The sequence below is a fragment of the Homo sapiens genome, chromosome 7 (genome assembly GCF_000001405.40).
Source record: "Homo sapiens chromosome 7, GRCh38.p14 Primary Assembly".
In the NCBI taxonomy this organism is placed as follows: domain Eukaryota; kingdom Metazoa; phylum Chordata; class Mammalia; order Primates; family Hominidae; genus Homo; species Homo sapiens.
In genome coordinates this window covers 139,867,230-139,885,037 of record NC_000007.14, presented here as the reverse complement: position 1 = coordinate 139,885,037, position 17,808 = coordinate 139,867,230, and the positions used below count along the sequence as shown (strand labels likewise).

The 17,808-nt window shown below is 42.4% G+C and overlaps 1 protein-coding gene and 1 long non-coding RNA gene across 10 annotated transcripts in view; both read right to left on the bottom strand.

Annotated features, from left to right (window-relative positions):
- The window catches only part of TBXAS1 (thromboxane A synthase 1), a 242,052-nt gene that overhangs the window by 135,256 nt on the left and 88,988 nt on the right, over window positions 1-17,808 (bottom strand). For 8 of the 9 annotated variants that reach the window (NM_001130966.5, NM_001166254.4, NM_001166253.4 and 5 more), the window contains 2 exons: window positions 12,710-12,803; window positions 9,401-9,453 (listed from right to left, as the gene is read on the bottom strand). In NM_001130966.5, the coding sequence (NP_001124438.2) occupies window positions 9,401-9,453; window positions 12,710-12,803 (147 nt within the window). Of the gene's footprint in view, window positions 1-9,371; window positions 9,454-12,709; window positions 12,804-17,808 lie in introns of all 9 variants that reach the window. The other variant, NM_001314028.4, reaches the window with a different exon arrangement.
- On the bottom strand, window positions 1,114-4,981 carry LOC107986853 (uncharacterized). Its single transcript, XR_001745384.2, has 2 exons — window positions 4,605-4,981; window positions 1,114-2,922 (listed from the first exon to the last, which is right to left on the bottom strand). It is a non-coding gene; the product is annotated as an uncharacterized LOC107986853 (long non-coding RNA).

Genomic DNA, 17,808 nt, shown 5'->3' with positions numbered 1-17,808 from the left:
CCCTGGCCCCAGAAGCAGGAACAACCTCCAGCCACACATCATGAGACTCGGTGCCTCTCCAGCATGGATCTGTTCCAACCATGATGGACCTGTCCACCCTGACTGATATCGGAGATTAGGTCTGGCTTCTGGTCCTGGGCCTCACATGATGCTGTGAATCTTAGAACTGAATGTCAATTCCTGGTTCATCCTCAGAGCCCTCACCGCTGAGACCCTGCTGTACTACCTAGACTCCTTTCTCAGGGCCGGGGGCTTCTCAGGTTCCTGAACCACCCACTAGTGGGGCCCTGGTGTCCACTGACAGCCTCCTCATCGCTGCTTTACTGGACGCCTGACTACTGTCCAGCTGACACCTTCCTGGTGCACAGCTCTCTCCTGGACTGTCCACTGTGGCCAGTGTTTGCTGGAATGGGGAGCACCATCTTACTCTTTAAACGCTGCCCTTCACCCACAGCAGGAAGTTTAGCAGGAAGCTGCTCTCTCGGTACCCACAGCCTGGTCAGTTTTCCACAGCTAGCTTACCCCGGCAAATGGGATTATTTCCAGTTTCCAGGCCATTCCTTCCTGCTGCTCCAGCTCCCTGGGAATAAGTAATCAGCTGGCCACACCTACCTGGGAGAAGATATCCACATGAATTACTTAGATATTTACACCCAATGCAAAAATCTTACAGAGAGATGTCTTAAATGGTCAATTAATATATTTGTGTTAGCTTCTTAGCATGATTCCGAGTTAAGGCTTGGAAATAATTTCAATAATAGTTGAACTTGTGATTTTAAAGAACAAGAAGGTGCTACTGGGTGGGAGGTGCCCAGCCTGGGCCCACAGTCAGGTGCGGGAGCTGGTCTCTGCAGGAGAAGTGCTTCCACTGGAGTTCGGTTTCAGCTGTGAACGGTGGGCTTTTACTGACTTTGACAGAGGTTTCTCAGAATCTTAAACCACAAAGAGGCAAACACAATGGCCTCTAACAATTTTCTGATGCACACTGATAGGGGCTGTCTCATTGGTTTGTAGTCATCCAGTTTACAACTGGAAAGGACTTCAGATATCATCTGGCCCTTTGCTTCTCAAATTGCTGATTTTGACTCACTAGTGGTCATGAAATCAATTTAATGGGCTGTGACCAACTTGTAAATGTTTTATTTTTTACAGATAGAATACAATACAATAGAATAGATCAAAGTGGTTCTTATACTGTGAATAAGGTGTTCTTCTGTAAAACTTTTATTTCAAATGTATGTGTGTGTATTAGATAACAATGTGGTTAATATATTATTTACTGAGGTTCATGATTAAACAGTGTCAAAATCACCGACCTAGTCCAAATCCCACATTTTACATCTAAGAGAACTAAAGCTGGAGAGGGGAAGTGATTGGCCTAAATCCATTAAGGTAACAAGCAGTAGAGAGAAAGAAAGTTGAAGCTGGGATTTTAACTGCAGATTTCTACTGTAAGCTATCATGCCCTGTTGGATGCTTCTACCCAAAGAAGAGGGAATTAATACAGGTTCTTGATCTTTATGAGGGTGGGTCACAAAGACTTAGATAGCAGTAGTCATTAAAATATGCAGCAACCATCACCCATATGCTGTTATAGAAAGAGGATGGGGGGAAATGAACTGGTATAAAATAAATGGGCTGAAAGAAGAAGTTAGAAGTCCAGAAAATTAGGTAAACTTCAGAAGGGTCTTTGGATCAAGACTGGGAAAGAAGGTGGTCTTAAATCATAAGAAAGCATGGAAGCTTTGTAGCAATACACTATTTGGTATAACGAGATCATGCTGGTGGCAGGTAAGGGTGAAGAGTCTATTAATGGTTCATTCAAGAAAAGTGGGACTCAAATCAAATTCCTCTGTCTCTTTGGTCTAAGCCACTTATTTATCTGTGGACAATTGTTCCTTTGATAATTCCACCTACTGGGCAGTGTGCTTGGCTTGGTGATAGTTGTCCTGTGGACAACTTTCTTCCTATTCTCAAAGGCCTCCTAAAACATCAGCACACTATGTCAGGGCATTCACTTTTAGAGAATAATGGCCCCCCTAAAATGCAATAATGCAGTTTAGTGAATTCCAATCATTTAAAAAAGGTGCTCTTACAGGCTTAGTGTTCATGATTAAGCTATTTTGACCAGTGAGAATATTGATATTTCACTCACTGAATGATGCTCAATAATTATGACCTACAGACCATCATGATGGTCTCACATGAATTTTGCTTTCAGATTCACATTATTGGGAACGGCAATGCACAGCTTTGCTTTCAACGCTTTCATGAAAGCCAGCTTTCACCAAGCTAGGGGACCCAAATATTGCCCACAGTTTGGCCTCATGGCCAGAGATGTTAGAATAATTCAGGACTTCTGTGCTTAATTCCACTGTTTCAAGGGTATTGTGTTTTCTCAATATACTATGTATATTTTCATTTTCATCAATTCCTCTTAGAATTGAGCCACATTTTTGGGTCAAACATTTAGTAAATGAGCCTCATACTGAGGCTTGCACTTTTATCAGCAGCAAAAACCTAAAGTTTGACTCCTTAGCATCAGTGTCTGGGAAGCTCTTCCACAACGGTGGCTTAATTTCCACCTTTCTTCAACATCTATGATTCTACTGAGCTCAGTCCAGTTTAAAAACAAGTGCCATCTCCAGGTGTCAGCTGCCCAATTTAAGTCTAAGTACTTGTCTTTTCTTGGACAAATCAGCAATAGTTTCCACCCTACCCTATCCTCAGCCACATGTTCAAGCCCAGTGTATTCAGATGTCTCATATCTTCTAAGTCAAAGAACAAACATGTCCAACAGGTGAGTCTTTCAGAGCCCTTCAATTCCCGTTGTTCTTGATCCATGATGGTAGGCCAGGAAGTCTCACATAGCCATCTGCCAGTATTAAAGTAAACCATCTCTATGCTGTTCTTCAACCCCATCTAAATAGTACATAAACATGATGGTTAAGAGCAATTACACGAAAAGTGTTCACACCTTAGTCACTTCCAGAACACAGACTCTCCTAATGGATGGCACCATGGAAGCTGAGCTTTAAAAAGTGTTGAAACGACCTTGTTATTTTGATTGCTGATGCCACATGCTTTTCCTTATGTATCCCAAAGTTCTCAACTTCCTCACTGCCTGGTGACAAGGTGCTATTAGTTCATGCATGCTAGCTAATTAAATTTTAAAAATGGTGCTAAAAACCTCCAACTTGGAGGCATATGAGACACCTCCCCCTCCTGTGGTGTGAACTTTGAAGCTAAGTGTCAGGCCCTTTATACCAAAGGCTTATTTATTTGCTAAATTGATTTTTTTTTTCAGTATGGGACCTAAGGTTCCCTGGGAGATAGATTGCTTCAGGCTTTGATACTTACAAAGATGTTCTTAGAACACCCTACTGCAGCTAGGTACAAGAAGCTACAAACGTGACATCCAAACGAGGATATTCAGTGCAGCCCTGGCTTGTGATTAAGCAGTACAACAGAATAGAGAAATCAGAAATACACCTAGGAATTAATAAATGATAAAAGTGACATTTCAAATCATTTGGAAAAGGATGAATTTCCAGATGGAACTCTACCCTCCTGGAGGGGGGGAAAAAGGGTGTGTCCCTAACTCCATCTTCCAAATAAATTCCTGATATATCAAACATTCTATATTTTAAAAATAAAATTTAAAGAAACTAGAAAAATGAAAGTTTATGAAAAAATATCCTTGGTGGAGAAAACCTTTCTGAGTAAGATGCAAAATGTAGACACTGTTAAAATCAATTAAAGTCAACAACACAAAAACAAATGTTTTCTGATTGGAAGAAATATATGATAAGCAAAGTCAAAGACAATGATAAAGAGGAGAAACTATTTAAGGCATATAAAAGGCTACTTTCTTTAATATGCAAAGAGCTTCTACAAATAAAGTGGGAAAAGATCAATAACCCAACAGAGAAGTGGCAAAGGATCCCTCAGAAAACAAAATACATTGCATTTTAAACATATGAAAAGATGCTCAAACTTGCTCATAATTAGAGAAATGCACATCGAAACTGCAGCAATATACCATCAAATGGTAAAGATTTAAAATTGTGACCACACATTTTAATGACAAGTATGGGAGGGACATATGCATATTTATGGGAATCTAAACTGACATAAACCCTAGAAAGAGAAATTTAGTCATATTTATCGAAATTAAAAACATAGACCATCTTTGACCTAATAATTCCATTTCTAGGAATTTATCTTGCATACTTACCCCAGACATCAATGATGTGTATATGAAAATCTTCACTGCGATGGTGTTTGTAAAAGTAAGAGATGTTTATCAATTGAGAACTTGTTTTAAAAATTAGGATACATTCATACAAGGAAATCCTTAAAAACACTACCTAATTTAACAAGAATGAATGAAGCAAAATGGGACAATTTCCCAAATACCATTAATGAACAAAGCAAGGTAAAGAACAGCATGTATCATATATGATCCATTTGACTATAAAGAAATTTTTAAGAGAGGTTGCCTCTGTGAAGGAGCAGATGGGCCCCAGGGTGGGAGCAAGTGTACTTTTTTCTTATACTCATTTGTACTTTATGAATTATGTACAAAGTTCATGCTTACCTACCTACAACTTGATGCTCTGATGGGAGTATATGAGGTTATGCAACAAGGCTGGCATCATGAAGGGATCCAGGGATGCAGGTGCCACTTACCAAAATGGAGCGGCATAGCTGATGGATGCCAGGAAGTGTAAAAGTCAAGTTCAACAAGAGGGAGCCAAGATCAAAACTAAAGTGATGTTGGGGGAAGAAGAAACGGGGATAAGGCTAAGTAAAAGCAGAACTATAGAGCAAGCATTTAAAAGACAATGAGATAGGCTGGATATGGTGACTCACGCCTGTAATTCCCACATTTTGGCAGGCCGAGGGAGTTGGATCACTTGAGGTCAGGAGTTGAGACCAGCCTGGCCGACATGTTGAAGCCCCGTCTTTACCAAAAATACAAAAATTTGCTGGGCGTGATGGCACATGCCTGTATTCCCAGCAACTTGGTTGGCTGAGGCACCAGAGAATCACTTGAACCTCGGAGGTGGAGGTTGCCATGAGCTGAGATCGTGCCACTGCACTCCAGCCTGCATGACAGAGCAAGACTCTGCCTCAAAAGGCAAAACAAAACAAAACACACACACACACACACACACACACACACACACACACACACACACAAAATGAGATAAAGGGAAAAGGAGCTTTGAATGGCGGCCTTTAGGAGTTGCTAATGACCTGAACTTAGGGCACTGTGTAAATATTTATTCTTACTTAACTATAAGTAATTAATAAAGGTTTATCATCTACTGGGTTACAAAGTCCAGCTACAAATTGGAGGGGATATAATCTCTATCCAAACAGGATATATTGAATATATATCAATATATATTTATATTCAATATTGGTATATATTGAATATAAACCATATTCAATCACCAATGTATGACGATAATGTTGATTCTGTTCTTACAGAGTTTGGGAAGGAATATAAATCCAACTTGGGGCTCATTCTCAGCCTGAAGGAGATAACAAGTAATCATTAATTGATGAAGGTTATCTAAAGCAATAAAGCCTTGCCTTCTTTGTGTTACATGGCCAGGTTGCTGTGCAATTCAGGAGAGTTTTTTATCACGTACCACCACGACTAATAGCTGTATAGGTATCCACGCCAGTCCTCCTGCTTTACATTCAAGTTCAAAGAAGGCAGAGACACCGTGTGTAGTTTTATTTACACAGAACCTGGCAAAGCAGGCTACATAAGTAGACACTTGGTGAAGATATTTTGTTCTCGATGATGGTGGTGGTGATGGTGGTGGTGGTGGCAGTGTTGGTGGTAATGATAAACATTGATGTTGTCTGCCCATCTTGATGGAAACCTTCTCCAGCCCTATTGTCCCCATGGTAGGGAGTGGGAGGGGAATTGAGTAAGGAGTCAATTTCCAGTTTTGAGCCTCAAACTCTTGAATTGCTAGGGTGACAACCAGATAATAAATATACATTGCCATCATAGTTGGCTTTCCAGTCTCGAGCAGTGAGGAGATTTGCCCTGTCCATTTTTCTCCCAACATTCAGTGCCAAGCTGTCATCTAAAGGCCCAATACATCTCTACACGGCATCAACAGTGTAGAGTGTGGCATTTCACTTGTCAAATAATGAATCAATCTATTATTTCAATTTTTAAGAAGACCAAGCTGGGATTGATTATATTTCCTAGTAATAAAAGTAAAATAAAAAATAAAATAAAAACTAATGTAATTTAAATTAAATTGTTCTCTGCAAGAAGGGTCTTTGCTGTTCATTGAGCATAGTCCATTCCCAATGAGTGAAACTATGTTGCTAAAATTTAAGCAGTAAGAAAATAACATTTAGAGTTAGAAAAGACATTCGATTTAGATTGGTTCAACCCTTTCATTTTTACACCGCCACCATATTGCCTCTAAATCTGGGAGTAGACACATTTAAAAAGAAGTCAGTGTTTTATGGCTCATCTTTTTTTTTCCAAAGGAGAAAAGTTGATAGCTTTATAGGAAGAAATTATGCCATCACCTTTCTTTTTTCCTTTTCACTAGAAGTGGGAACAAAGAATGGAGATGATACTGCAATCTTGATCTCTATAACCTCATTTGAAATCATTCTCTATGATTTAGGTTTTCTTGAAATGAAAAGGATAAATTGTGTTAACTCAGTTAAAGTTGGAGGAAAAAGTTGATTGGATATCCTGTTGTCAAGGAAACCAATTCGCTCCACCTCTCTCTCTCCTCTCTCTCTCTCTCTCCCCCTCTTCTATCTCTCTCTATCTCTTTCTATCTCTTTCTCTGTCTCTTTCTCTCTCCTTTTCTCTCTCTCTCTTTTTCTCTGTCATTCTCTCTCTCTCTCTCCTTCTCTCTCTCTCTCTCTCTCTCACACACACACAACTAGTTCATACAGTGCCCTTTAAACTCTTAATTTGGCATTTACAAATTATTTTTAAATACCCAAAGGCTCTACTTTGGATATCTGTACAAGAAACACTCAAGAAAAGTGGTTCCTAGAATTCAAACTCAGTCAGGACTTTTTCTGATTCTGGTGAAGGCACTGTCATTCTGAGTCAGTGCTGTGTCTCAGAGGCATATGAGACAGTCTCCAAGTCATTGCCAACTCAGCTGCAGAATGAGACTGTTTGAAAGAAAGAGCTGGAATGAGAACCTTTAAAAAGCAATAGACTGGTGAGCCGAGATCGCGCCACTGCACTCCAGCCTGGGCGACAGAGCGAGACTCCGTCTCAAAAAAAAAAAAAAAAAAAGCAATAGACTGGGTGCAGTGGCTCATACTTGTAATCCCAGCACTTTGGGAGGCCAAGATGGGTGGATCACTTGAGGTCAGGAGTTTGAGACTAGCCTGGCTAACATGGCAAAATCCCGTCTCTACTAAGAATACAAAAATTAGCCAGGCATGGTGGCGGGCGCCTGTAATCCCAGCTGCCCAGGAGGCTGAGGCAGGAGCATCGCTTGAGCTCAGGAGGCAGAGGTTGCAGTGAGCTGAGATCATGCCACTGCACTCCAGCCTGGGCGACAGAGCAAGACTCTATTGCAAAACAAACAAACAACAACAACAACAAAAAACAAAAACAAAAAGCAATAGAACCACACAACGGTAAGAGAAATGTAGACAGTTCAATTTCTTGAGCCTTTATCGAGCACCTATCACGCTTAAAGCAAGAAGCTATGCACCAAAAAGCAAAAATGAAAAAGTAAGTGAAGGCCAAGTTGAAAGAGATCTTAGGGAGTGAAGCAGGGTTGCTTGTTATTTAAAGACACGCCTTGCCTCCCCGCTCGTCCATCCGAGGAGTACACCTCCCTGCTCCATCAATGTCAGGCTGGGCCAGGTGTCTTGCTTTGGCCTCAAAGTGGCCACAGTGCCCTCCTGCCCACATCTTGGGTTTAGCCGTGTGACTTGGTTTAACCAATAGGGTATAAGCTGAAATGATTCAGCAGAAATGTATAATGTTCTTGCACCATCAGGCTTGCTCTCTTGAGTCTTTGCCCTTACCATGAGAACCTGCCAGCCGAGCTTACACTTCCAAAGAGGATGAGAGACATGCAGAGCCTTGGTGCCCCACATGAGGTCCTCCCCAGCAGATACACCCAGAAGTCCAGCGGAGCCATCCAGCCAAGTGCAGCTTAGGCCAGCCAACTCCAGCTGACCCTTAGACACATGATAAATCATAAATTGTTGCTTATGTCACTGAGTTTTGGGGTAGTCCATTATGCAGCAATGACTAATACAGAGAGCATCTTAACATCTTAATTTATTACTTTTTCAGGACCACGTAGCAAACCAAAAAGTAGGTAGAAGAACTTGACCAAAACTGTGGGCTTCCTAGGAGGGGCCATTTCCATAAAGAGGACAAGCCAATCCCTTTCAAAAATGGGTATCAGGAGAACAGACATCATGAATACTATGGAGATAGGACCCCCAAATCACTGGAGCCCATTGGAATGTACGTCGGCAACACAGGAGAACTTTAATGCACCTACAAAAGTGATCGCTGACCCAGAGGTCTACGAAAAGCTGCAAAAAAATCGCTCAGTGGCTGAAGAGAAGCTGCGTGAAAACCAACTAAAATGATTAGGACTTCAGTGTGGAAAGACACATGTTGAGAATCAATACAATTCAAGCCTGTTAAATCTTGAATAGAGTAAGTGGTCTGAACGTGGGTTTGCTCACCAGAATCTGGAATTTTAGAAACAAAGGAGCATACAAAGGAGAAATTCAGAAAATAAAGAGAAGGGCTATATTACTTTACACGGCCAAGAACTAGGGTGACCATATGCCCCAGCATATCCGGGATAGTCTTAGGTGATAAGGTTATCCTGGGGTAATTATTAATAGCACTTCCTTTCACTTTCAAAAGGGAACTGGATTGGGTGATAAATTACACGGTCATGTTGCTGGCAGCACACTTTCCCCATGGGCTGAAGGACCCGAGTCTGAGTAAGGTTCAGATATGCTCATGGGGTAAGACCTGCTGTGCACTGTCAAGGCAAGTTGGACAGTTTGTGCTCTGAGGCAAAGAGGCCACCACATCCCGTGGCAACACCCCTCAGCACAGCAACGGGAGATGATGCTGTGCCCAGCCCAGCAAGGCTGCAAAGGCTGGAAAGTGGTACTCTTTCAGGCCAGCAGAGTCCCCCCGTGGGCAACCCCAGGGTCTTCTCTAGAAGCCTTGTCTGTACTGCAGGACTCCCTCTTTGTGGGCCCTTTGAAAAATAGAAACACATACAACATTCCTAATCTTGGCATTTCTTCTATATCAGTTCAACACGTGAAAATCAAAATATCGTACATAATAGAAAATATCGTACATAATAGAAACGTTGAGTTTCCTTCTTACCCACACAGAGGTCCATACAGCTTTCTGAGCTCCATTTGGCTTTCCCAAAAACCCTGAAGGAAACACAGCACTATAGTAAGAATAAGATTAAGCAAAATTCCAATTATTCAAACTTATTCAGTAAACAATTTGGAACAGCAAGAATACAATTACAGAAACAATAAAAAAGAATGGAAGTTATATTGCTTTCAGGTACTTTGAAACATTGGAATAAACAAAAGGCTTTAAAAAAAATTGCCATGTAAAAGTCTTGGACAGGAGAGATCACCAGTTCTTAAACTACTTATGTATACTTGCTGCTAAAATATTCAAAAAGTTTGCTTTCTCAACTATAACATTGCCCTCTGAAATTTGATTTAGCATTATCATATAGCCCTTTTTACTGCCACTATATGTAACTTCTACTGAGTCTATCAAAATTATCACAAATTCTGAATTATCATGATCCATTCGAGTTAAACTTTAATTAAATTCAACATGTTTAAGATATATAAGACAAAATGCTAGACACTTTGTTGTTGTTGTTGTTTTGTTTGTTTTTTCGAGACAGAGTTTTGCTCTGCCACCCAGGCTGGAGTGCAGTGGTGTGATCTCAGCTCGTTGCAACCTCCACCTCCCGGATTCAAGCGATTCTCCTGTCTCAGCCTCCTGAGTAGCTGGGATTACAGGCATGTGCCACCACACCCAGCTAATTTTTGTATTTTTAATAAAGACAGGATTTCACCATGTTGGCCAGGCTGGTCTGGAACTCCTGACCTCAGGTCATCTGCCTGCCTTGGCCTCCCAAAGTGCTGGGATTACAGGTATGAGCCACTGTGCCTGGCTAGACACATTTTATAATGGGAAAGAAGTGTAGCTGGGTTGACGGAGGGGTGGAAAATGCTAGATCCATTGTGTGGTGGGAATGGACTAGACCTGAAAATACTCATGAGTTGGGGTGGGTGTGGGGGGTGGCAAATGGTAGATTTGTGTTGTGAGAATGGAGTATGGGGTGGATACATAAGGGGTGGAATGAAGGTGGAAAGTTGGGGGTTAGGAGTGTGGATGTCCTGCATGGAAACACATGCCTTTCTCATGAAATCTACTGAATTCTGCAGCGTAAGCTTGCCATATATCAAGGAAAGTATATATGAATATAAAAATAGTCAGCGAAATTACTATGTTCTAGAAAGAACTTGGCAGGGCTTGTAGCTGTGAGGATGGCGGGCTGCAAAGGAGCATATGTGGAGGCTCTCCAGAGGCGGGAGCACAGCGTTCTCCTCATGTCGACAGCTACGCCGTTTTCCTCAGAATGTTAATACCAAATTAATTATTCCACGGAATACAACTGATCATTTCCCCCCAGAAATGTGTGAAATGCATTTTCTTTAGCTTTCCGATCTGGTTTGTTGTTCTATCTTGACACTTTAAAATTTCTTCACACTTGTTTCAAGGGGCTAACAGGAAGCCTCATTGAGACTGTTGTTTGTGAGCTTAAAAGTTGTGAACCGCCCACCCCAGAGAGAGAGATGAGAGGAGAAGGTGTTTAAAAATGCTAGGAAGACAGAAACAACAATGACAAATCATGGAAAAGGTGATGGACACAGAAAGGAATGGAAAAGAAATAATTGAGAAGGTGGGGGCAGAAAAGGACAGAAAGAGCAGCTTTCTTTTCTATCTAGTGCCAAGGGCCAGCCTTTCCGGAGGTAGGGATGGGGGAAATTCTAGAGATGTTGAAGGGATATTATCAGGATTGTCCCAAATTTAGTCTTCCTGCCTTTGTTTGGCTTGGTGGTTCTTCCCATGCAGGGTGTTCCGGCTCCTGGCGTTGGGTCTGGAGTCAGTGTCCCCGTGACTTAGCAGAATAAGCCATCTGGCTTCTGAGAAAACCCAATGTGAGAAAAAATAACCGTAGACCATAAAGTCCTGACCTATATCTACAAATGTCTGTTGGCCATTTCCACTGGCATGTCACTCTGGCAAATCCCAAGCAACATACTTAAAATAAAACTTGTCTTCTCCCTGAACCACTCCCCCACCCAACGTTTTATTTCTGTCAACCCATAGCCATTCTCCCTGTTCCCCTGGCTCAAAGCTTAGGCTTATGTTTGACTCACTTTGCCTTGAATTCTCTACACTAATTTGTCACAAGAGTTCTTCATTTTGCTCCCAATTATCCATCTCTATTCACTCTCATCACCGACCAGACCGAGCCATCGTGGCTTCACCCCTGGACTTCAGCAACAGTTGGGTTCTACAGCTCTAACCTATGTTCTTCTCCCTTGCAGAGTGTTGTCCATTTCAATGTCCCTGTCCTCAAAAATGTTAACACACAAATAGTTCTTCACGTGCCTTCCTACCCTGTAAGCATCTAGTGCCCCTTTCTCTCACCCAACTGCATTGCCCAGTGCACCTTAGCATTTGGCCTCTAGTCAGTCCAGGCTGCTGGTCAACCTGTGCTGTCATTCTCACGTTGGTACACTCACATAAATAGTGCCACCCACCTGGTGTGTGTACCCTCGTCTCTATGTCCACAGGCCCTGAAGGACCTCCTTCTTCAGGAAGTTCCTTAGGATGATTTTAGCCCTGACAGATCACCCTCTCCTCTGACAGAAGATTACAGCTACCGTCTATACCACCCTATTTAGTGCTAGGGTGTATCTCATCTGGTGTTGCATGCCATCATTTGACAGTGCACTTGAGGGCACAAGTAACCTCTTCTTCTACACTCTAGGGTCTGACGTATTTAGACATACAATATATGGGGTTTGGGGGAAATGGGTGAGTGAATGGATGACAGGACTCAATACATATTGATAGTGATAAGAGATGGATTCTTGCCATCACATAACAATTCATATAAGTAGAGGAGGGCTCATGGCATCACAGAACACCTTTACTGCTCAAGGTGTGGGGACCTGGACAAGACCAATGTTTCATGCAGAAAGCCTGTCCTGGGCTCAGCATATTTTACTTTATTTTATTTCATTTTATTTTATTTTTTGAGACAGATTTTTGCTCTTGTTGCCCAGGCTAAAGTGCAATGGTGCAATCTCGGCTCAGTGCAACCTCCACCTCCTGGGTTCAAGTGATTCTCCTGCCTCAGCCTCCCAAGTAGCTGGGATTACAGGCATGAGCCACCATGCCCAGCTAATTTTTTGTATTTAGTAGAGACGGGGTTTCACCATGTTGGTCAGGCTGGTCTCGAACTCCTGACCTCAGGTGATCCACACGCTTCGGCCTCCCAAAGTGCTGGGATTACAGCCATGAGCCACTGTGCCTGGCCCTCAGCATATTTTATGATGGAAGCCAATGGAAGACAGCCCTTACCTGGCGGAAAAATGTCAAGTTTCCAATGAAAGGAGAAGGCTTGGGATGTCTGAGGCCTAACTTCTCCAGTCTTGAGAATGCTGATGTGGAGTACCTGGAGGGAAAAGCAGATTTCAAAAGCTGAGAAATGAAGTTGCACTCATGCTTTAGGCTCTATTAGGAACTAGAATTACTGAGCTCTCTGGAAGTAAAGGCAAAAGAATAGGTTTCCAGTCACCACATCTAAGAACCAAAAAATTGGAGGCCTAGAGTTGAGTGAGTAGAATAGGAGTCCAGTCAACCTCCTGTTGAGTGACCTGCTGGAGATCAACGAATCCTGAAACCTCTGAGCTGGAGATGCCTTACAGATGATGTAGTCCAACTGCCCCTCTCTGACCTAGAATTCCTCTTAATAGATTGTTTTAAAAATGCCACTCTCTCCAATTCCTTTCCTTTGCCTCTAAATCTATCACGAGCAATTGCTCAGAAGGCAAGGTAAAAAAACTAACAATGGCAAAAGCTCCCTGTGCAAATGTGTGTATTTTCATGGTCAAGACTAACCCCTCCCTGCCACACACATAATTTGTCCCTCATCACATTCCCTGGCCTTACAGAGAATAGTAAAAATAGGAACGGAGGGAAGGCGCCATGAGGAGAAGACCTATCACCAAATGCTTACAACCTCTTTAAGTCTTTGTTTTCTCGGCCCGCAACCATATGGGAAGCATATTTTCTTAACCAAAAATCAGGAAGCGTGGTCCGACAGATTTCTGTGCCACTTCCCAGGAGAAAGCGGCAGTCTGAGAAGTGCAGTGTGGCTGTCAAAACATTGGAATTACTATGGTATTTCAACAGTTTATAGGAACAGAGGGATAACACAGCTAAAGTCAGAACTGGCTTAGAAAAACCTGCACATATGGCTCTGATCCCTAACCAGCAGCCAATTAGGTCAAAAGTTCAGTTAGTTCAGCAAAATTAATGAGTCAAACTGGTTGTTTAGCATCACGCAGAGATCAGCCAAATCACAATTTAAGGGCAAGGAAAAACATGGAGACTATCAGTACAATCTAGCTTTCTGTGTGTATTGAAACTCAAACTATTACTGCTATAAGAATCACTCTTTTTCAAAGGACAGAGTATTTGCTATACTCTTTGATCTTTCCCACCTGCAGTCAATAAGGAGTACTTAAAATAAAAATACTCAAATATTCAGGGAAAGGAAACACAGCTTAAGTGCTGGTTTGCATTATTCTGAGCAATGTGCTATTTATTTCTTTATTTATTTCTGTCACCCAGGCTGGAGTGCAGTGGAGGCTCACTGCAGCCTAAAACTCCTGGGCTCAAGTGATTCTCCTGCCTCAGCTTCCCAAGTAGCTGGGACTACAGGTATGTGCCACCACTCCCAACTAGTATTTCAGATTCTTTGTAGAGACAGGGTCTCCCTATATTGTCCAGGTTGGTCTTAACTCCTGGCCTCAAGCGGTCCTCCTGCCTTGGCCTCCCAAAGTGCTGGGATTAAAGGCATAAGCCACCACACCTGGCCAAATGAGTCGATTTTTAAAGTGGTCACAAGGGAGAACCAGGGCAGAACGGGAAGGCAGGATGTCCTCTATCCCAAGTTATCCTAAGATTTCCACCGTATGGCTCCATTAATAGGTTTGAATGAATTCCCAGTACGTCACATTTAGGTCCATGTTCAAGTGTGATTACAAACCACACTCAAGAGCCACACGTGAACGCCAAGGATTAGTCATACCAACACTCCTCTTCATTAGTGTGAGTACCGAAGGTTGACAGCACAGTTGGTAAAAGTTATTCTTTCAAGTGGACCATAATGTTTTAAATAATTCCCCTTACAACAGAGAGGAAAGACCAAAGGAAACTTACCAGCCCACTTAACACTTTCTTTAACATCCTCAAATTCGTGTCTATGTTCATTTCTTCATCAGCTTTTTTGAATTATTTTCTAAAAGTAATCTCTAATGGGTAGAAAAAAAGATGTAGACCTTGGACCACATAATTACATCTTAATTTTGTAATTAGATGTCTTGATTGTCTAAAGGACAAGAAGTCTGTGCCTAATTACACATGCTAATTATTATGCAAGTCCATGCCCTAATTATGTAACTCCACTTATGAAAATACTGCTAGTGTGTCTATGCACAAAATTCAGACATTTTCAAACACATGGCATCAGCAGAGTGTCCTGGACACCACCACAAACTTCCCTTTGCAGCCTCGACTCAAATCTGGAACTTGAGCATTTGTAGCCTCGACTCAAATCTGGAACTTGAGCATCTTCAGCTGGAAACTGGCCAAATATTGCCATCAGTAACTCAAGTTCCTGCACCCAAATCTGCAGGGAGAGATCATTGCCACCAAATTTATGGGCAAAATAGCAACATGGGTTCCATTTGTCTCCCTACCACTTCCTTCTCTGCACTCTTGTTTCATACCCTCTGGTCTCAGGGTCCCCTTGCTGCCCTCTGACTGTCTCAACACGTTCTTAACCCAAAATCAATGAACCCCAGTTGTAATGGGTTGAATTGTATCACCACCAAAAAGATAAGTTGAAGTCCTAACCTCCAGAAGTCCTAATCTCAGAATGTGACTTGGAAATAGGGTCACTGCAAATGTAATTAGTTAAGATGAAGTCATATAGGCCAGGCACGGCTGCTGATGCCTGTAATCCCAGCACTTTGGGAGGCTGAGGCAGGCAGATCACTTGAGGCCAGGAGCTCAAGACCAGCCTAGCCCATATGGTGAAACCCCATCTCTACTAAAAATGCAAAAAAATAGCCAGGGGTAGTGTTGCATGCCTGTAATCCTAGCAAATCGGGAGGCTAAGATAAGAGAATCTCTTGAACCTGGGAGGAGGAGGTTGCAGTGAGCCAAGATTGTACCACTGCACTCCAGCCTGGGTGACAGAGTGAGACTCTGTCTCAAAAAAATAAATAAATAAAGTCATACTGAAGTACAGGGGCCCCTCAATCCAATATGACTGGTGTCCTTATGAGAAGATGGCCATGTGAAGACAGAGATTCACAGGAAAGTGCCGAGTGACTATGAAAGCAGAGATTGGTGTCAGGCCACTGCAAGCCAAGGTATGTCAAAGATAGTCAGCCAACCACTAGAAGCTAGGAAGAGGCAAGGAAGGATTCTCCCCTACAGATTTCATAGGGAACATAGCCCTGCAGACACCTCAATTTCAGGCTCCTGGCCCAGAACTGTGACACAATAAATTTCTGGTGGTCTGGGTGTGGTGGCTCATGCCTATAAACCTAGCACTTTGGAAGGCCAAGGTAGGACAATTATTTGAGCCCAGGAGTTTGAGACCAGCCTGGGCAACACAGCAAGACCCTCACCTCTACAAAGTGTAAAAAAATTAGCCGGGTGAGCCTGGTCGTGGTGGCTCGTGCCTGTAATCCCAGCACTTCGGGGAGCCAAGGCAGGCAGATCACTTGAGGTCAGGAGTTTGAGATCAGCCTGGCCAACATGGCAAAACCTCATCTCTACTAAAAAAAAAAATACAAAAGGTAACCAGGCAGGCTTGTAATCCCAACTACTCGGGAGGCTAAGGCACGAGAATCGCTTGAACCCAGGAGGTGGAAGTTGCAGTGAGCCAAGATTGTGCCACTGCGCTCCAGCTGGGATGATGAAGCAAGACCCTGTCTCAAAAAAAAAAAAAAAAAAAAAATATTAGCCAGGTGTGGTGGCACACACCTATAGTCCCAGCTACTTGGAAGGCTGGGATGGGAGGATCACTTGAGCTCAGGAGTTTGAGGCTACAATGAGCTACTTTTGTACCAGTACACTCCAGCCTGGGCAACAGAGCAAAACCCCGTCTCAAAAAATGAATAAATAAATAAATAAATAAATAAATAAATTCTGGAGTTTCCAGCCACTCAAGTTTGTAGTACTTTGATATGGCAGCCCTAGGTTAAGTGGTACACTAGGGATACTTATGAGTGAGTCTTACAGGGTCAATGAAAAGTTGTTTTTAAATATCTTGCTGTAACTTTAAAAATTGTCATTGTAAAAAAAATCCTTTTATGTCAAATTGTGTTATTAAGTCCTGTGCCATTTAAAAAAGTGCAGGAGGCCAGGGATGCTACTGTGTAAAGCAGGTAATACGCAATGATCAGACGATCACCATGTTCTGATGTTTACAATGGGTTTCCTTTGATGTGAATTAATGCAAATGTTTCCCACAATTATGGTTATGGACACCTGTCATTGTTTACATCAAGGATACTTAAGTTGGAAAACGACAACAGAAAGTATATATAGCTTTAGACAGCATCTTTCGGTTTTATTTTCACAACCAACGAGGTCATTAAACGCTACAGGACACAAATACTGCTGTGCCAGCGGTACAATTTACTGTCCATTCTCAAAATAAATCGGGCCACTGGATCATTCTCAAAATCAGGTTCAATTTGTAAAGGCTGGAAAATTTCCTGTATTTTATCTTCCTCAAGGCTTTCTCTTTATTTATTTATTTATTTATTTATTTATTTATTATTTATTTTCGAGGCAGAGTCTCACTCTGTCACCCAGGCTGGAGTGCAGTGGCACAATCTCAGTTCACTGCAACCTCCTCTTCCTGGGCTCAAGCGATTCTCCTGCCTCAGCCTCCTGAGTAGCCAGGATTACAGGCGCCCACCACGCCAGGCTAATTTTTGTATTTTAGTAGAGACGGGGTTTCACCCTGTTGGCCAGGCTGGTCTTGAACTCCTGACCTCAGGCGATCCGCCTGCCTTGGCCTTCCAAAGTGTGGGGATTCCAAAGTGTGTGAACCACCGTGCCCAGCCTAAAACCTTCTCTTGATGGATTCAACATGGGTGCTTAGCCCATTGTTTAGCCAAAGAAGCCACTTCTGATAAATTGGTATTTTGATGAATCACATATTAAGGAGATGGTCAAACTGACTGAGGTTTGGAACAAAAGAAAACAGAAATTATCTACCTCCAGGAATTGGCTTCTCCTGTGGTGTGCAGGAGAAGGGTCCAGCCGGCCCCTCCGCTCGGTCATTACATCCTCACTGTCACTACCAAAGAATTCCTACTTGGTGCACTGCTTTCAAAAACTTCAGTGGATGTATTTGAAATGGTGAAAGA